Source organism: Homo sapiens, chromosome 16 (assembly GCF_000001405.40).
Source record: "Homo sapiens chromosome 16, GRCh38.p14 Primary Assembly".
NCBI lineage: Eukaryota > Metazoa > Chordata > Mammalia > Primates > Hominidae > Homo > Homo sapiens.
The window spans coordinates 55,671,600-55,690,757 of record NC_000016.10 but is presented as its reverse complement, the minus strand read 5'-3'; the positions used below and the strand labels follow the sequence as shown (position 1 = coordinate 55,690,757).

At 46.1% G+C, this 19,158-nt stretch overlaps 1 protein-coding gene across 12 annotated transcripts in view; it reads right to left on the bottom strand.

The window, feature by feature from the left end:
• SLC6A2 (solute carrier family 6 member 2) overlaps window positions 1-19,158 on the bottom strand; it is a 50,205-nt gene that overhangs the window by 15,435 nt on the left and 15,612 nt on the right. For 10 of the 12 annotated variants that reach the window (NM_001172501.3, XM_011523295.3, XM_006721263.2 and 7 more), the window contains 2 exons: window positions 18,583-18,820; window positions 5,477-5,615 (listed from right to left, as the gene is read on the bottom strand). In NM_001172501.3, coding sequence (NP_001165972.1) covers window positions 5,477-5,615; window positions 18,583-18,820 — 377 coding nt within the window. Of the gene's footprint in view, window positions 1-5,476; window positions 5,616-18,582; window positions 19,099-19,158 lie in introns of those variants that run through there. The other 2 variants (XM_011523299.3, NM_001172502.1) reach the window with 2 other exon arrangements.

Below are 19,158 nucleotides of genomic sequence, written 5' to 3'. Positions count from 1 at the left end.
GACTTAGTTGGTCAGGGGTAGGCCTGAAATGAGTATTTTTTTTAAAGCTCCCCAGATGATAAAATTGTGCAGCCAAGGTGAGAAATCACCACTTTAGGCAGAGGCAGCCATGGGTAGCCTTGCTGAAAGAAGGCTGTGTCCCAAGTGAAAAATCAGGCTAAGGTCAAGGTAGTCAGACTCAAGGAGGACTCAGCTGAAACATGAGAAGGCCTATAACCTAAATGCCAGATGGTTCCACCCCTCAAATCCCTGGAACTATGTAGCCCCAGGAATCTTCCCATATCCCTAAGGGGAAAGTGGAAACCTTGAAACACGAAAGTTCTTTGCCAGGCTAAAAAGATATGGGCTCTAAACAAAAAATGGGGATATAGAAAATAAAGCCATATGCTTCTCAAACTTATGTTTAAGGATGGGGATTTATCCTCTTTCTTTACTTGTCTTTCCCACTAGATCATGAGCTCCTTAGAAGTAAAATCCTATATTTTTCAAACCTGAATCCCCAGAATCCGGCACATGTGAGTCCAAATAAATGTTTATTGTACGAATGATTGGACTGGGCAGTGGTGTAGATGAATGATTGGATTGTTAGGTAAATGGATGGATGAGTGGATGGCTGGATTATGATTGGGTAGCTGGTTAAAAGGATGGATAAGATGATTAGGTGGGTGGAGGGTTGAGTAGATGGATGGATGGATGGATGGATGAATGAGTGGGTAAGTGATAAATCGGAAAGTTAGTGGACGACTAAGTCAAAGAATAAATGCATGAACAAGTGAATGAATGAGTAACTGGGTCAGCATGGGAGCGAGTAAATGCATAGTGGTAGTCACATCTTCTGGGCTCAGAAGGAATCAGGAAAGCCTCCTCTGTTTCATGTTATCCACTTGTTTCTCCATCACTCCCTTGTTCTAAGAAGGTCTTTATGGAAATGGGATTTCCACTTGTTTTCTTTCAGGGAGGCAAGAACAGGAAGGACAAATTGCATAACAAATAAGGAGGGAAACATGCCCTGGAAAGTGAAGCTGTTGCATCTGGGTGACCTCACGTTAATCAATCTTGTATTCAGTCTCCTGATCTGGGACAAATAGGTGTAAGCCCTTGGCAAAAGGCACAAGAAGGAGCTCTCACATCTCCTTGAGACTGGTCCTAACTGCTCTGGTCTCCTAAAACTCATGTCAATAGCTGCAGCCCTGCTGCAATGCCCAGCCCAGCAAATCAGGTGAGACTACACTCCTCCCATCAGAAAACCGTATCTTGACCTCTGACTTCAGGGAATCTCCCATGGGGCCTGGAGGTGGTCCTGCATTGGCCATGTTTGTTGGCCATGGATTCAGTTTCCCTAAGGAATACATCAGGCCATGACTGAGCTGAGACCCTGACTATAGTTCAAGCATCAAGAAAGCAGGGAACTTGTTTTGTCTGTGCCCATGTGTTCAAAGCTAAACCATCTGAGTCTTGTTGAAGATTCTCAGAATTGGCAGTGGGTGTTACTTCAGCTGCCTAAGATCTTGTGTTGAAAGAAGGATTCCTGGATCTTTGGCTAACAGTTCACTCATGCTCAAATGTGCCCTGAATGCACAATGGGTAAACAGAAGAAAGGCTTGGGCTCTGTCATCTCCACCCCAGGCTTCTCAGCTCTCAGCATTTCAACTTGCAACACAGCTCTGGCCATGAGAACCTAGACTTGGTCCAATTTTGAGCACAACATCAAGAAAGCAATGAGCAGCCCATTGGTCTTGGCAAATGTCCTTAGTCCCTAAGGGAGGTCACTGCTTTCTATCACTTTAAATCCATACCTGCTGGTATTTCTATGGATAATTTGTGTGGTTCCAGGGTACCAAATTCAAGCCAATGGCTCACAATCAAAATGAGGACCTTGGCTCCATAAAAGAAGGAATTTTCAAATTGATAGAGCTCTCTCAAGGGAAAGAGCTGCCCAGGAAGGTGGTGAGGTGCTTGTCACTGAAGTTGTGCAAGCCTTGCTATGAATCCAGGCATCGAGAAAATGGCTGCCTAGATCAAGGTGAGCTCCATAGACCAGCAGCATCAGCATCACCTAGGTGCTTGTCAGAAATGCAAATTCTCACCTCATCCCCACTGAATCAGACTCTCTCAAAGAGGGACCCAGCAATCTGAGTTTCAGCAAGCCATTTCAGTGATTCTTACACCCATGAGAGTTTGAAAAACACTGCCCAGGACCTACTCTAAGGTTGACTTGAAAACAGAGATGATAAATGTCTGCACTTTACCACTATAAATCTGCATTAATTTACCCTTTACTGATTTAGAATTTGTGATTTTAAAAAGGGAGATTTATGGGGTGTGGGGTATGCACTGATGTTACTGAAGAAAACACCAAGCTACAAACATTTTAGTCTATGCCTCACTCATGTGTGAATGATGCTGTTCATTATAATTGAGTCCAATCAAGTCACTAAAGCAAGCCAGGACCAGCACAACCTTCACTTGCCAAGACCGGAGGTATGAACATTTGCAATTCATTTGAGGCCAGCTCTGAGGCTATGGAAGCCTGCTAAGAAAGGCTCAATGTCCTGTTCCAGGTTCAGTCTAGAAAGAAATAAGCAACACTCTTGGTTTCTCATAAGCCAGTTTATAAAAACAATTAAAGACAGAGCACAGTAATGTCCTAAGTGAAGCTCCCCATTCTAAAAATCTCCTCTCCATGGACTGCCTGTGGCATGCCTGCTTAGTGGTCAGAACACTGAGGGACTTATGCAAAATGTGGGCTGTGGTTTCGGATGACACATGCAGAGGGGACTCATATTCCTCTCTCATTGTGTTTCTACATGGGGGCTTTCCTAGTGTAACACTCTGGTTCGCCCCTCATTACCTTCTCTGAAGGTGTATTTTGGAAAGAACTGAGCATGCTCAGCCTTACTCCTCCCAGTCTCTTTTGCATCAGCCTGCCTGCAGACAACATATACTCCACTCTACTCAGAAGCTAAACTAGACGGGGCAGGCTCTACCCTCTTTGGTGATGGCATTGGGGAACCCAATCTTGGGGTGCAATGTTAGAAGTTTGTGGTGGTCCTATGCCAAGGCCAGAAGCAGTATAAAGCTCATATATCTTCTGCAATTCACAGGGTTGAGCCCTGTCTCCCCTCAGGGTCTCTGTCTGTGCCTGCAGAGGCCAGGAGAACTCTGCTCCTGGTACCCAGGAAAGGCACAGAGAGTGCTAGACAAGGCTGGCCTGGGGCTTCCACATCTCTACAGTTTTGCTCATGTAGTTCCTTCTGCTAAGAATCCCTTCCTTCCACCCCACCTCTACCTGCACCTGACTTTGTAGACCCAGCTCGAATGCCACCTTCTCTATGGTCTTTGGAGACACTTTCAGTTGAAAGAGCTTCCTTTCTCCACTAATGCAGCATCTCACACTTTTTGACCACAACTCAGGCTAAGAAATGCCTTCAATATCAAGACAAACTACACATAAACTTAGAGATTGCTGTAACTGAAACAAAAATCCCAAGAGACAGCTCTTACTTTACTTGTGCAATGATCTCTTATTATCTAGACTTTTTCATTTTTGAAAAGTGTATGTGATGAAAATAGCAAGATATATAATAGTGCACATAGTTTGTGACCACAGGTTTTTATTAAATGGGGACACACACATATGTTCTCTGGATAGAGACCCAAGAAGCTAGTGACATTGGTTGATCCATAACCTGCCTGTAATACACATAGACTAAAGCAATTGAAGAAGGAACCTGTCTTATTCTTGCATCACTAGTATTAGCATCAAGCCTGGTACACAGTAGGTCTCCTATGTTGATATTTTGAACTAAATTCAAAAGAATACTTAATGAAGTTCCCCAAACTTATATACCCACCCATCCTTCAATTACCCAATAAATATTTACTGAAGACCTACTAGGTGCCAGGCATCAGAATGTTAGTGGTCCTATCCTGGTTTTGCTCAACGCTAGACTTTCTCCAAGCCCTGGTCTGCATTTTGTTTGAGTGCTTTCTTAGGGTAGACACTGTGTCCCCAACATGCTGATAGGAAGTTCTCTCTCCAGTTCTTGATGGATTTCATCTCTACTGGCTGCTGCTCCCCTGCTACTTTCTTTGCTCTCAATGGCATGACCAAGAACTCTAAGAGTATCAGAGAGAACTCTGGTGCACCCCCCCTTTCCAAAATCAGTTGCCTAATGAGGATTCTCCCAAATTGACACCCACCTGATTAAGGTAGACTGTTGCGCTGTGGCCCCCAATGAACTCACACCTGTGTGTAATCCCCTCCCATATGGACGGTGGGTTTTACCTCAACACTTGTTTTGGCCACTGGGACAATAGCAAGAATGATGCAAGCAGTGACTGGAAGAGCTACTTGTACATCACTGGGGCTTGTCTGCTTGGGACATGTTCTTGGAACTCAGCCGCCATGCTGTGAGAAGCCCAAGCACCATAGAAAGGCTATATGGAAACATCCCAAGATGCTCTGGTTGGCAGCTCCAACTTAGCTCCCAGCTAGTGCCAAATGCTAGCAATGTGTATGCACCATCTAGAATATTCCAGCCCAGTGAAGCCATGTAGTCCAGGGAATATCACATGGAGCAGAAGAACCACCCAGCTGATCCCAATCAACCCATAGAATTGTGAGAGACAATAGAATGGTTGTTATTTTGAGTCACTACATTTTGGGGTGGTTTGTTGCACAGCATTAGCTCACCACAACACTGGAAAGAAAATTTCCCATCCATATCCTCTTTAATAGTCAAGCTTCTAAATAGACCCTGTAGAGTCCAAATGGGGTTGTTGTTCCCATGATGTTCCTTGGGCTAAAAATCAACAGGAGCCATTTCCTGAATATTCCCACCCATGAGAGGCTGACTATAGGAGGACAGTGTCACCCAAGTTCAGAATGCCAACTCCGGACTGGCCCTCATGGGTCATCTAAACCTATGCTCTTCTCTCCAAGGCACCTGGAACCCTGGGGGCACTTATTTCTGTATCCGAGGAAACACAAAATCCAGCATACATCTGAATATCTTCTAGAGCATCCTTTTTTCTCAAAAATTCAGAGGGGGGATTTATTGATTTTATGGTCATATTCCAGAGTAGGATGCAACATTTGCATGAAGATTTAGGTCAAGATTCAAGATTTATCAAGGGCATGTTGATAGTATCTCTAGACTTTGTCGTGAGGCCCTTGGCAGTATCCCAGTCCCTGGTCTCTGCTATTAGGGAGGTTTTGGCAGGAAAATATGAGGAACTCTGATCCACTTATACCCCTTCAACCTATTGTGGTGGAGACACAGATTTGGGGAAGGGAAAGGAAAGGAAGGGAAGGGATTTGTCCAAGTCAGTGGCAGAACAGGGGCTTGAACCCAGGCCTTGCACTTCCAGCTCCATCTTTTTTGTCCACCAGCTACATAATTATTGCTAGAAATAATCACACCCCCCAAGGTTGATCACCCAAGTAAGTGAAAGAGAAACACAGAGATATTACCTTTCCTGATGTCTTCACCCCTTTCCAGAGGCTAAAATACAAGACGATGACGACGACCATCAGACAGAGCAAGAGCTGCCACTGGGGCAGGCCGATGTCATGAATCCCGCTGCTCTCGTGAAGGTGCAGGACACCACGCCTGCCCAGAGGAGAGGGGAGGGGACCAGGGTAAATGTCGTCAGGGAGGACGACAGAGGCCGTGACCACAGACCAGTCCCTGCAAATGCATGCTGATGGAGACAGGACCTGGCCACTCTCCCCTAACTCAGGGACCCTAGCCACTGCCATGCACCACATGGGCCTGACCTGATCAGCCATGGCCTGTGCCCAGGACCACTCTGTCCTAGAAGAGGCAAATCATCTGGGGAGATTCCACGCTCATGGCTGCTTTTAAAAGACAAAAATCTCTTAAGTGCCTATTGCTCGCCTGGCCTTGGAGTAATAAATAGGGAAGGTTTCTGTCCTCACAGAACTCACACTATAAAGAGCAGTTCTCAGCAGGAGGGAAGACTGTTTTGTCCCTGACCCCCACCCCGGAGGATATTTGGCAATATCTGAGATGTTTTTGATTGTCATGACTTGAGGAGAGGTGGTGCTACTGGCATAGAGACTATGGGTGCTGCTAAACATACTGCAATGTACAGGACAGTCTCCAATAACAAAAAATGATCCTTCCCAAAAGGTCCATATTGCTGAATCTGAGAATACCTGGTCTAGAGACTGAGACAAAAGTGAACATTTCTCCTATTGGGGAATAGCTACTAAAGCTGAAGATAGGCTTATCCTGTGCCCTAGGTATTGACTCAATAGAATATTGTACACATGTTCACCAAAAGACATGCTCTAGAATGTTTATGGCAGCATTATTTCATAATAACCCCAAATCGCAAAGTACTCAAACATCCATCAACAGTGGAATGGATAAATTAGGATATATTTATAAAGTGGAGTTTTGTTGTTGTTGTTTTTTTTTTTTTTTTTGAGACAGGCTCTCACTCTGTTGCCCAGGCTGGAGTGCAGTGGCACCATCACGGCTCACCGAAGACTCAGCCTCCCCAGGCTCAGGTGGTCCTCCCACCTCAGCCTCCCAAGTAGCTGGGAATATAGGTATACATCACCATGCCTGGCTAATTTTTGTATTCTTTTGGTAGAGACTGGGTTTTGCCATGTTGCCCAGACTGTTCTTGAACTCCTGGGCTCAAGTGATCCAACTGCTCCAGCCTCTCAAAGTGCTGAGATTATAGGTGTGAGCCACCACACCTGGCCTAAGTGGAGTATTATACAGCAATTACCTCCAGAGGGATGGCTCTAGCACACACTGCTGAGAGAAAGAAGTCAAAGCCAGAAGAGCACTTCCGTCTGACTCCAGTCATATAAAATTCAACAACAGGCAAAACTGACCTAAAGGATTAGAAGTCAGGAGAGGTGTACCCTGGGATGGGGTTGAGGGGGTTACTGACTAGGAGAGGACATGATGAGGACTTCAGGACATTCATCATGCTCTTTCCTGAGCTGGGTGAGGTTACTGGATGCGTTCAACGGGTAACATTTGCTGAGTTGTCGCTTGATGATAGTCACTCCTTTGTAATATGTTAGCTATCAATAAAGTGTTTGGGTTTTTTTTCTTTTGTTTTGTTTTGTTTCGTTTGTTTGTTTGTTTGTTTGTTTGAGACGGAGTTTCACTACTGTTGCCCAGGCTGGAGTGCAATGGTGCGATGACGGCTCACTGCAACCTCCGCCTCCCAAGTTCAAGTGATTCTCATACCTCAGCCTCCTGAATACCTGGGATTACAGAAGCCCACCATCATACTCGGCTAAATTTTTGTATTTTTAGTAGAGATAGTGTTTCACCATGTTCGCCAGGCTGGTCTTGAACTCCTGACCTCAGGCTATCCACCTGCCTTGGCCTCCCAAAGTGCTGGGATTACAGGCATGAGCCACTGCGCCAGGCCTGGTTTTTTATAAGTAAGAAAAACAAACAATCCAAGGTGGTCTGAGAATATTGGGGTCCCTTGTACAATCTACAATGAAGAAATGATAAAGAGAATTGAAAACAAAATGACCGTTTGCTAATGAGAATCTAATCAAAGTTGGTTAGGAGCTAAGGAAAGGTCAAATAAGACTGACTGCTGAAACAGTACAGCAAGTCCCAGGAGAGAAGGGTTCCCCTGACCACTCTGCACCCTTGCAAGGCAAAGCAAGCAGAAATGGGAACAACTTGGTGTGGTATTTGCTCTGCACCCTAATCGTTCATTTGTCACTGAAGGCCGGCTGTGAGCCAGCCCATCTGGGCCTCGGACACACACAGGAACTGCTCGTGCACCGTCCTGACTCTGCCTTGGTGGGCTTGTATCGTAGCATGGGAGGCAACACTGCACGCAAATTCACAATAAAGCATGACACATGTTGGGAGGTTCAAGGGAGCTGCAGGGGCCCCCAAAACGAGATCCCACTGGGTTCTTCTCTGTGCCTCACACTCAGAGGCAACAGTCAGCTGCACATTGCCCAACACCCTTCAAAGCCCAGATCCAGTGTCACCTCTCCTGGGAGGCCCCCCAATCATCCTTGATAGGCATCTTTCAACTCTTCCAGTTCCTGTGGCTCTTGACTCAGTTGCAAGGAGAGCCTGCCTGTTTCTGCAAGATCAGGGCTAACTGTATACAAGGGTCTCCCAGGATGAGGAGGTGAATTAACCATTCCTGGTCCCCAGTGCTAAGCCCAGAACTGGCAGTTAGACCTGTTAGCTCATGAGAGATCATAGGATTAGAAACAGATAAATGCTCCCAGCCTTTCTTGCTAAACCCAACAATCCCTCTAACTATAGAAAATGAGATCCCAGGATCACCCCAAGGAGAACGAGTAAGGAAAGAGGGTCAGTTTCCCACACACTCTCAATCTTTCTCTTAGCAACTCCTCCCATCACTTGTGGCAAATTTCTAACCCTTTTGCCCAGATCTTTCATACTGCCCAGGGCACCACACATTTTCCCATACGGAAACTTCCCTGTCTCATTCTATAGGCATTTGCGCTCAACTAGAGGTCCATTCAGAAAGCAGCTGCTTAATAGACTTATATAGCCAGGCATGGTGGCTCATGCCTATAATTCCAGCACTTTGGGAGGCCAAGGCAGGCGGATCACCTGAGGTCAGGAGTTCGAGACCGGCCTGGTCAACATGGCGAAACCCTGTCTCTACTAAAAATACAAAAATTAGCTGGGTGTGGTAGTGCATGCCTGTAATCCCAGCTACTTGGGAGACTGAAGCATGAGAATTGCTTGAACCTGGGAGATGGAGATTGCAGTGAGCGGAGATCTTGTCACTGCACTCCAGCCTGGGCAACAGAGCGAGACTCCATCTCAAAAACAAAACAAAACAAAACAAATTTACACTAAAGTGTTAAAGGCAAACAGCTTAATATATCGTCCTTCCCTGGAAGGTGGCTTTAATTCCAAAACACACATTAATGGCAACATTGTACACACCTGCAGGGGATAAGATCAATTGTCTGTCTGCCAGAGGCAGATGACAGCCCTTGCTGGAATCATCCCGAATGATGCAGGAAGATTCCAGGCTTGTAAGGAAAACATATACCCTGAGTCTGGAAACTTACTTAGCTTACCCTTGGGTAGGAATTAAAATTTGTTTCCAGGCAGGTGAAAGAAAGGCTGAAGACCACCAGCGATGCTGTTTCATTCACTCTTTCATCATTTATCCACTCAAAATAGATGTATGTTATTTGAAAGAATATGAAGGAAAACAGAAAAATGTGGCACAGAAATTGTCTGAGCTCTGGGGTCAGACAGACCTGGCTTCCCATCCTAGCCCTTACCACCAGATCCTGTGTGACCCGAATCCTTTCATCGATTCCACAAACTCTCTCTGCACCTCTGCTCTGAGCCAGGCAGTGTGCCGGGGGCTGGTGGCATGGCTGTGGAGAAGCAGGTGATGGCTCCAGCCCCCTGGGGATCACAGGCAAGGGGACAGTAGTGCGTGTAAGCATTTCCCATCACTGAGTCTTTCTCTTTTCAGTGAAAGGGCTGTGATGAGGGCTGAGTTACAGAATATCAGATAATAATACCCAGGAAATGCTCAATAAATGGTAATTATAATGATCATTATGTTTGAGTCCTAGGCTTCAAGGAGCAGCAGGTGTCAGCAAGAGAGTCAAGGGTACCCAGAAAACTCAGTAGAGGGGGTCGGCTGGGGAGACTCCGCTGTGAAGGTGGCAGGTGCCTTCTCTGCTGGCCAGAAAGCTGACAGGAGGTGCACAGGTGTAGGGGAGGGAGCAATGGGGAGAGGGGATGTGAGCATGCGTGAATGAATGAGCAGAGTTGGGTGGGTCATCAAGGTCTACCCAGACCAATGCCCCCTCCCCAGAATGGCTCCCATCCCTGCAGCTCCCAGGCCAGCTGTTGTGGCCTTAAACTCTCACCCTGCATCATCTTCCCCATGCAATCAGTTGCCATGTCTGGTCCCCGCTAATCCTGTCTCTTGGTTGCTCCCTCTACCCCCACCCCCACTGTCCACATCCCAGGCCAGACCCACATTCTGTCTGTGATGGTTAATATTGAGTGTCAACTTGATTGGATTGAAGGATGCAAAGTACTGTTCCTGGGTGTGTCTGGGAGTGTGTTGCCAAAGGAGATTAACATTTAAGTCAGTGAACTCGGAAAGGCAGGCCCACCCTCAGTCTGGGTGGGCACCATCTAGTCAGCTGCCAGTGAAGCCAGAACAAAAGCAGGCAGAAGAACATGGAAAGACTAGACTGGTTTAGTCTTCTGGCCTGCATCTTACTCCCATGCTGGATGCTTGCTACCCTCGAACATCGGATTCCAAGTTCTTCAGCTTTGGGACTTGGACTGGCTTCCTTGCTCCTCAGCTTGCAGACAGCCTATTGTGGGACATCACTTTGTTATCGTGTGAGTCGATACTCCTTAATAAACTCATATGAGATCTATATCATTAGTCTGTCCCTCTAGAGAACCCTGACTAATACACTGTCCTTCCAGAGCTATTGTAAATGACTCCCACCCTCTCCCAAACCCAGTCTCTCTGCCTCCTGTCAGCCCCCTTAAATCCACTGTCTGTGCCACTGCAGAACCATCCATCCAAAGTGCTGTTCTAACCTTGCCACTCTCCTGCCTCCAAAGCCTCAGAGGCTTCTTAGCACCTAAAACAGTGGTTCTCACTGGAGGCAACTTTGCCCCTGCCATCCAGAGGCATTTGGCATGTCTAGAGAGATATTTTTGGTTGTTACATCTGGAGAGGAGGGAGATGCTGCTGGTATCTAGAGGGTAGAGGCCAGGGATGCTGCTAGCTGCTAAACATCACAGATACACAAGACAGTGTGCACCCCTGTCCCCCAACAAAGAATCATCCAACCGAAAAAGTCGAAAGCATCGAGGTCCGGAGGATAACAATGAAAGTCTCTCAGAATCTGAGGCCTTCCACAGTCCATCCCGTGCCAAGTTCATCCCTGGCCTTGCCACACCCTGCCTTTCACCCCAGCAGCAGCAAGCTACTTGTCAGTCCCCAGTTATAGGGTGCATCCATGGCTCTGGGCCTTGGGACCTTCTGTTCCTTCAGCCAGAACACACGTCCGAGCTCAATTTGTCTGCCTGGCTAACTTCTCATCCTGTTAGTCCTAACTCAAAACAATCCCCTGACTTAGACCCCTCTGCTATGTCCTAAGAGAGAGAGAAAAAGAAGAGGAAAGGGTGGCAGGGCGTACGCATATTTAAAAAGACAGAGGACCAGGCTGGGTGTGGTGGCTCACGCCTTCAATCCCAGCATGTTGGGAGGCCAAGGCGGGTGGATCACTTGAGATCAGGAGTTCCACATCAGTCTGGTCAACATGGTGAAACCGCCTCTCTGCTAAAAATACAAAAATTAGCTGGGTGTGGTGGCACACACCTGTAGTCCCAGCTACTTGGGAGGCTGAGGCAGGAGAATCACTTGAACCTGGGAGGTGGAGATTGCAATAGCCAAGATTGAGCCATTGCCCTCCAGCCTGGGTGACAGAGTGAGAATCTGCCTCAAAAAAAAAAAAAGAAAAAGAAAAAAGAAAACCAGAGGCATGTACTGACCCTATCTGATGCTTAATTCCGCTTCTTCCTGTGCCTTTATGGGACAGGTGTTGAATTGTGTCAATTGTCATTTGGTTGACTTGACTATCCAAATAATGGGAATAAAAAGGCATGGAACCAATCATCCTTGCCCTGAAACTTGCCAAAATGCCTCTGGTGTCCAATCTCATGGTTGAAATGCCCCCCAACAGGCCCAGCTGATGTCCCATGCATTCAAAGTCCACTTTCAGGGTTGTAGAGGTTGTCTAGGTATTTCATCAGTGAAAAGATCTGGACTCCCAAGCTTACACCCAAGAAAATCAATGAGAATGCAGCCTCCTTCCCCCAGCAGGCCCAAACCTTGGGGTTTAGTACAAGAAACTTACGTCAGTTTTAGTTTTCCAGAAGTTTAATGAAAATGAATCATCGTTAAGTGTACTGTCCAGGCTTTCCGAAGTCTACACACTAAAAAAGCTCAATTTCTCACTTGATATTTAGCACAGATGATTAATACTAGGCTGGAGGGAGACTTTTCTTCCTCACCAGGGACCGGCATGGGGTGGAAGTTTTCTATTGCCAGGCACATGTTCACCAAAGGTGGCCTTTTACACATAAAGTTACAGAGCTGCAGAGTTTCTTTTAGCTGTGGGGCTGCTTGGCTTCAGGCCTGGAGCCTGGGGAGAATAGCAGTTTTGTTCCCTTGAATGATATGCTCAGTCCATCAGCCTAAATGAGTACAGGATGGTAACAAAATTGGCCAGCAGGTTGGCAGAAAGAGAAAAAATTTTCTATTTCCTCAGGGTTGGCACTAGGAGTCCCACTCACTGGGTCCCCAAACTGAGTTGAGGGGATGTTTTTCAAGCAGAAACATTTAGACAAAAGGGCATCACGCCATTAAAAAAAAAAGTCCAGAGGCAGCTGATGACAGTGCTGTGCATTACAAAGCACAGAGGCAGGCTCCAGGCCAGAAAGGGCAAGGGCGGCGTGAGAAGAACTCCTATCTACTTGCAGAGGCCCCTGCACTCCCAGCTCTGCCACTTACCTAAAACCGGAGCCTACACTCTCTTATCTGTAAAATGGGAATAATTTCTACCTCCATGAACTGTGAAGATTAAATGGGATTTGGATGTGAGGAGATCCTCAGTGCTTGGCTGATGGTAGCAATGAAGGTTTGCATGGATAGTGGAGGGAAGGTTAAGGAGAGGAAAAAAAGAGGGAAGATCTGTAGGGCAGAAGGCTCCTAAAATAAGCCCTGTAGGCCGGGTGAGGTGGCTCACACCTGTAATCCCATCACTTTGGGAGATGGAGGTGGGTGGATCACCTGAGCCCAGGAGTTCAAGACCAGCCTGTGAAACATGATGAAACCCCATCTCTACAAAAAATATAAAAAGCTAGCCAGGCGTGGTGGTACATGCTTATAGTCCCAGCTACTTGGGATGCTGAGGTGGGAGGATTACTTGAGCCTGGGAGGTCAAGGCTGCATTGAGCCGAGACTGTGCCACTGGGTGACAGAGCAAGACCCCGTCTTTTTTAAAACAAACAAACAAACAAAAAACAACTCTGCATTCAGTTCTACCTGCATCCCCCAACCATTTCAGCCTGAAGATGCCATCTTTTCCCACCACTCTCCTTATAGCTGAGCCTGGAGGAAGCTTAGGGCTGTAATTAAAGTAAGTAGGGTCTCAAAACCTATCTCACCTCTCCCTCTGGCTGGGTGTCTCTGCTGGGGCCTCTGCTGGGGCCGACATACTAGCCATGAAGACATCAGCGGAGGAATCAAATGCTAACTGGACTAGAGGCAAAGCTATCATTTCCCATTTTAATTTGTAAAACAAGGGTTGCCGAGAGCAAAAAGAAAAATCATGCTTTTTCCTTTATGGGAGGATGAGGGGGAGAGGGTGCAACCAATCACATGTGTCGGCAGCACTCTGCTCCACTATCTTTACCACCTTCCCCTCCAAACCATGTTCATAAGACAGAAAGGCCTAAAACCCCCACCTGCAAGCTCTCTGATGGTTCGGGAATTTTCTGAGGCCATACTCCTCCTCAGAAGAGTGAAGGAGGCCCTAGATTTTCCATGACATGAGTCTATAGAGATGTCAGCCTGATTCCAGTAGGAGTCCTACTCCAAGACAGAAGAGCGCAGTGTGTAAACAAGGGCTTCCAACGTTGGCTGGATGTTAGAATTGCAGGGGGAGCTACTGATGGAAATTTCTATGCCCTGGTTGTACCCGGACCAATGAAATCAGAATCTCTGGATGTAGAATCCAGGCATCCATGCTCTCCAGGTGATTCTGATGTGCAGTCAAGGTTTTGAACCCTGGGCTAAGAGCTTGGGCTTTGGAGATAGACTGCCTGGATCCAAATAGACTTTTAATGCCACTTATAAACTCTATGACCTCAGACAAGTCACTTACTGATTTGTGCCTGTTTTCCCATTCATAAAAATAATCTTATACCACAGTGGTCAGGATTAAAATGTAGTATAGAAAGGGTGCTTTGAACTATGGCTGGAATACAATCCAAGCTGGGTAAATGTGATGTGTGACCATGACAATATTTCTGCATAATAACAAACATGTATAATGGGTAGAGGCCAACATAACACAGAGGTTAAGGGTGCATGCTGTGAAGTTTCCCTGCCAGACAGGGCTGGGGTTAGAGTGAGGAGAAGTAAGCTCCTACGGTGCAAAATGGGAGATGCGCACTCTCAGGGTTTTGCAAATGCACACTGGCTGGGTCCAAATCTTGGCTCTGTGCAGTAATAGTTGTGTGGTTGTGGACTGTATTGTCTCAACTGTGAAATGAAGCCTCCCCAAGAGTGTGATGAGGATAAGAGTTACAAAAACCTCATTAGGTGGGTGAGGCTTAAATCAAAATAATACATAGGAGGAAGTTAGCAGAAAACCTCATACACATGGTAAGAGGTTAGCTATTAATGTGATGGTGAGGAAGACAGGTTTCTTACAGCAGATGCTGATGTTCAGTGACAGCAGTGATTCAGATCCTCTGGGAGGGCTGCAGAGGTATTTGAGAATTTGACGACAACTGCAGACCCTCTCCAAGAAAAATTCTAAAACACATAATTTTTACATATGCCTGTTAGAAGTCCATGGGAATCATGGATGGAGACAGGTGGATGCAGGTACAGGACCCTTAGCAAATTCTCTGCAGTGAACCATTGAGGGTATTTCCTGGATCCTGAGAACACTGACTCCCCTGAGCCCCAGGAGGCAGTAGACTTTCCAGAGGTCTCTTTCAACCAAACTAAATCCCCCTGGCCCTGCTGCACCAAGATGGCAGGGAAAGAGTTGGTCCCAGGATAACCCCAATCTCCAGATAATCTGGACTCATTCCCAGGTTCTGGGCTTGGGGAATCCATAGGACTGAAGGAGAGGAGCCCTAAAGTTTTGTTGTTTGTGAATATGTTTTTTTTTTCCACACTTTTTTGCACTGCCCAATACAGTAGCAACTGGCCACACATGTCTATTTAAAGGTAAATAAATTAAAATTAAATTAGAAATATATCTCATCAGTCACACTAGCCACATTTCAACTGCTCGGTAACCACCTGTGGCAAGTGGGTACTCTGGTGGATTGCACAGATATAGACCATTTCTATCATGGCGGGAAGTTTTATTGGGAAATCTTGCACTAGGCCAGGAATCAGCACACCACGGCCCCCAGGCCAAATCTGAGCTATGGACTGTTTAGGTACGACCTGTGAGCTAAGAATGGTTTTACTTTCCAGAGGTAAAATAAAACAAAGAACATGCAACAGGAACATATGTGGCCTGCAAATTCTGCAATATTTACTCTATGATCTTAAGCAGAAAAGTTTGGGGACCTCTGCTCTAGACCATGAATGCCCTGAGGGTGGAGTTCTGGTGGAATCTATCCTGTCTGCCCCACAAGTTGTATCAGGTACTTTCTGCTTACCTGCTAGCATGTTTGTGTAGGGATTGATAAAATGGAATTGACCCACGCCTGAGGGATGAAGACAATGGATGCTACATTGTGAACAGAGTGCTATGCAAACATTTTAAATCAGGTGGCTGAAAACAAGTCAGTCATCGCCCTCCTCAAGGACATAAATGGATGAAGTAGAGGCTGAGAGGATTCAGGGAAGCCACAAATTAAATAATGATGGTTATAAGCTCACACCCAACAGAATGGCTATTATTTAAAAAATCAAAAAAATAACAGATGCTGGCAAGGCTGCCGAGAAAAGGGAATGCTTATACACTGTTGGTGGGAATGTAAATTAGTTAAGCCAATGTGGAAAGCAGTTTGGAGATTTCTCTAAGAACTAAAAATAGAACCACCATTCGACCCAGCAATCCCACTACTGGGCATCTACCCAAAGGAAGATGAATCATTCTACCAAAAAGACACCTGCGCGTGGATGTTCATTGCAGCCCTACTCAAAATAGCAAAGACATGTCATCAACCTAGGTGCCCATCAATGATGGATTGGATAAAGAAAATGTGGTGGCCGGGTGCAATGGCTCATGCCTGTAATCCCAGCACTTTGGGAGGCCAAGGCAGGTGGATCACCTGAGGTCAGGAGTTTGAGACCAGCCTAGCCAACATGGTGAAACCCTGTCTCTACTAAAAATTCAAAAATTAGCCAGGCGTTGTGGTGGGTGCCTGTAATCCCAGCTACTCAGGAGGCTGAGGCAGGAGAATCACTTGAACCTGGGACACAGAGGTTGCAGTGAGCCGAGATCACACCACTGCACTCCAGCCTGAGTGACAGAGAGAGACTCGGTCTCAAAAAAAAAAAGAAAAAGAAAAAGAAAATGTGGTACATATATACCATGGAATAATATGCAGCCACAAAAAGGACAAAATCATGTCCTTTGCAGGGACATGGATGTAGCTGGAGGCCATTATCCTAAGTAAATTAATCCAGGAACAGAAAACCAAATACTGCACGTTCTTACTTATAAGTGGAAGCTAAATATTGAGTACACATGGACATAAAGAAAGGAACAGTAGACAATGGGGACAACAAGAGTGAGGAGTGAGGGAGGGAGGGGGACAAGAGTCGAAAAAGTACCTATTGGGTACTATGCTCATTACCTGGGTGGCAGGTTCAATCACACCCCAAACCTCAGCATCATGCAATGTACCCATGTAACAACCTACTTGTGTACCCCCAAATCTAAAATGAAAGTTGAAATAAATAATAATAATAACAACAACAATAATAGTTATGAATTAAGACTACGGAATAAAATAAATATCCAGGAGCCCATACTGATATAAATGAATAACTGAAAAAATAAATAAACAGGGGAGAAGGGACAATTCTTCCTTAAAGAAGAATTCCAATTAATCTAGAAGGAATGATAAGCTGGGGTGGTGGCTCACGCCTGTAATCCCAGCACTTTGGGAGGCCAAAATGGGTGGATCACCTGAGGCCAGGAGTTTGAGACCAGCCTGGCCAACATGGTGAAACCCCATCTCTATTAAAAATACAAAAATTAGCCAGGCATGGTGGTGCACACTTGTAATCCCGGCTACTCAGGAGGCTGAGGCAGGAGAATCACTTAAATGTGGGAAGTGGAAGTTGCAGTGAGCTGAGATGGTGCCACTGCACTCCAGCGTGGGCAACAGACCGAGACTCTGTCTCAAAAAACAAAAAAATAAAATAAAATAGAAGAAATGATGGAAATAGGAAATTATAACTAGATAAACATCATGGTAATAGTCCTTACTTGCAAGAATCATCAACAAATGCTAAGAAATGTGGACAAAAGTATGATGAGAATCAAGACATTTGCATAAATTCAGTGTATGTCCTTAAAAGACACATTACTTAAAAAAGGAAAATAACTCTCTCTACACAGGAGGAGGCTGGCAGTCTCCACCTTAACCAAGTGTGCAAGGTTAACATCACAAGTAACAAGATATTGACAGCATGTCTCCCCACCCCCTGATGGAATGCACTGAGGAGGGCACAGCATCATTCCTAGGGTAATCACGCCAAAATGCATAACCACAGTTTAATTATGAGAAAACAACAAACAAACTCAAATCAATATTTCACAAAGTAACTGACCGTACTTTTCAAGTGTCAAGGTCATGAAAATCAAGGAAGAGCAAAGATTGGAGAAGATTAAAGAAACATGGCAACTAAATACCTGAAAAGAACATGAGTGGGAAAATTGGTGAAATTCAAGTAAGGTCTGCAGCTTGTTAGCTAACAGTGTATCAATGTTAATTTTCCGGTTTCAAACTCAGACCATGGTTATGTAAGTTGTCAACATTAGGGGAAACTGGGTGATGGGTATATGCACTATTTTTACTACTTTTAATGTATAACGGTATTTCAACATAAAAGTTTCTTTTTTAAAATGATATTCTGTCTTGCACCAATGGCCAGTGCTTCTCGTGCACACATGGTCCAAATAATTTCTCAGAGCTGCATACAGCTGGCCTGCTTCCCGCTTCTTGAATTTTCTCCAAGCTCTGATTATGTTCCCCCATGGGAACTCCAGAAGGACAGCAGCCCAGGGTGAGTCAGACTACAGCTTCAGGGTCAAATCAACTCGGGTTCAACCTGCAGCTCATCGCCTGCCCTGGAGCCCCAGCTCTTCCCTTCTCTGACATCATCAGTTCCTATGTCACCTCCTCAGAGAGGCCTTTCCTGACTACCCACGCAACCGTTCTTTTCCCTCCATGATTGATTTTTCCCACATACCTGGTTTCAGTTCTTTAAGAGCAGTTACATACCCCAGAAAGTGTTGCATTCCCTGAAGTGCACACACTCTAAAACATTCTCACTCCCTTACCTGTTTATTTGTGTATTATCTTGCCCGCCTCCACTTCCCTGCCCCAGAACGCAAGCTTCTCCAACTACCTCGACCGTGGCGTGTCCTCAGCCTCTCACCCAGCATCAGGCCAGTGGCTGCTCAGTAAACATTAATATCCTGACGGCATGCGTCTCCTTGGTCTGTGACTTTCCTTAGTGTTTGGCTCAGGTCATACCAAGCACTGGCCTCAACAGGCCCAGCACAAGGGGTCTGTGACTTACTCATAAAACTCGGCTGCCGGCGTGAACTTGTACTTGGAGTACTTGGTGTGGTTGCCAAGCACGGAGCCATTGAGGAGCTTGGGGTCGGTACAGTTGGGGCTGTTCCAGGTGTGGCCACAGTCGGTCCAGGGCAGGTTGAGGGTGAAGGAGGAGAAGAGGTAGTAGAGTGACCAGGCGATGATGACGTTGTAGTAGAAGCCAACGTACAGGGCGATCAGGATGACAGCATAGCCAACGCCTGGGCAGGGACAGGGGGTAAGGTAGGAGTCTCCCAGGCCCAGCCCCACAGCCACCTCTCCTTGGGTGTGGCTCCACCACTGCACTCCCATTCCCTCTGTCTCTCGTTTCCTGCAGAACAGCGGTCCCCAACCTTTTCAGCACCAGTGACCTGTCGCATGGAAGACAATTTTTCCACAGATTTTGGGGTGGGGGTAGTTTCAAGATGAAACCGTTCCACCTCAGGTCATCAGGCGTTAGTTAGATTCTCATAAGGAGCACACAACCTAGATCCCTCGCATGCGCAGTTCACAGTAGGGGTTGCGCTCCTATGAGAATCTAGTGCAGCGGCTGATCTGA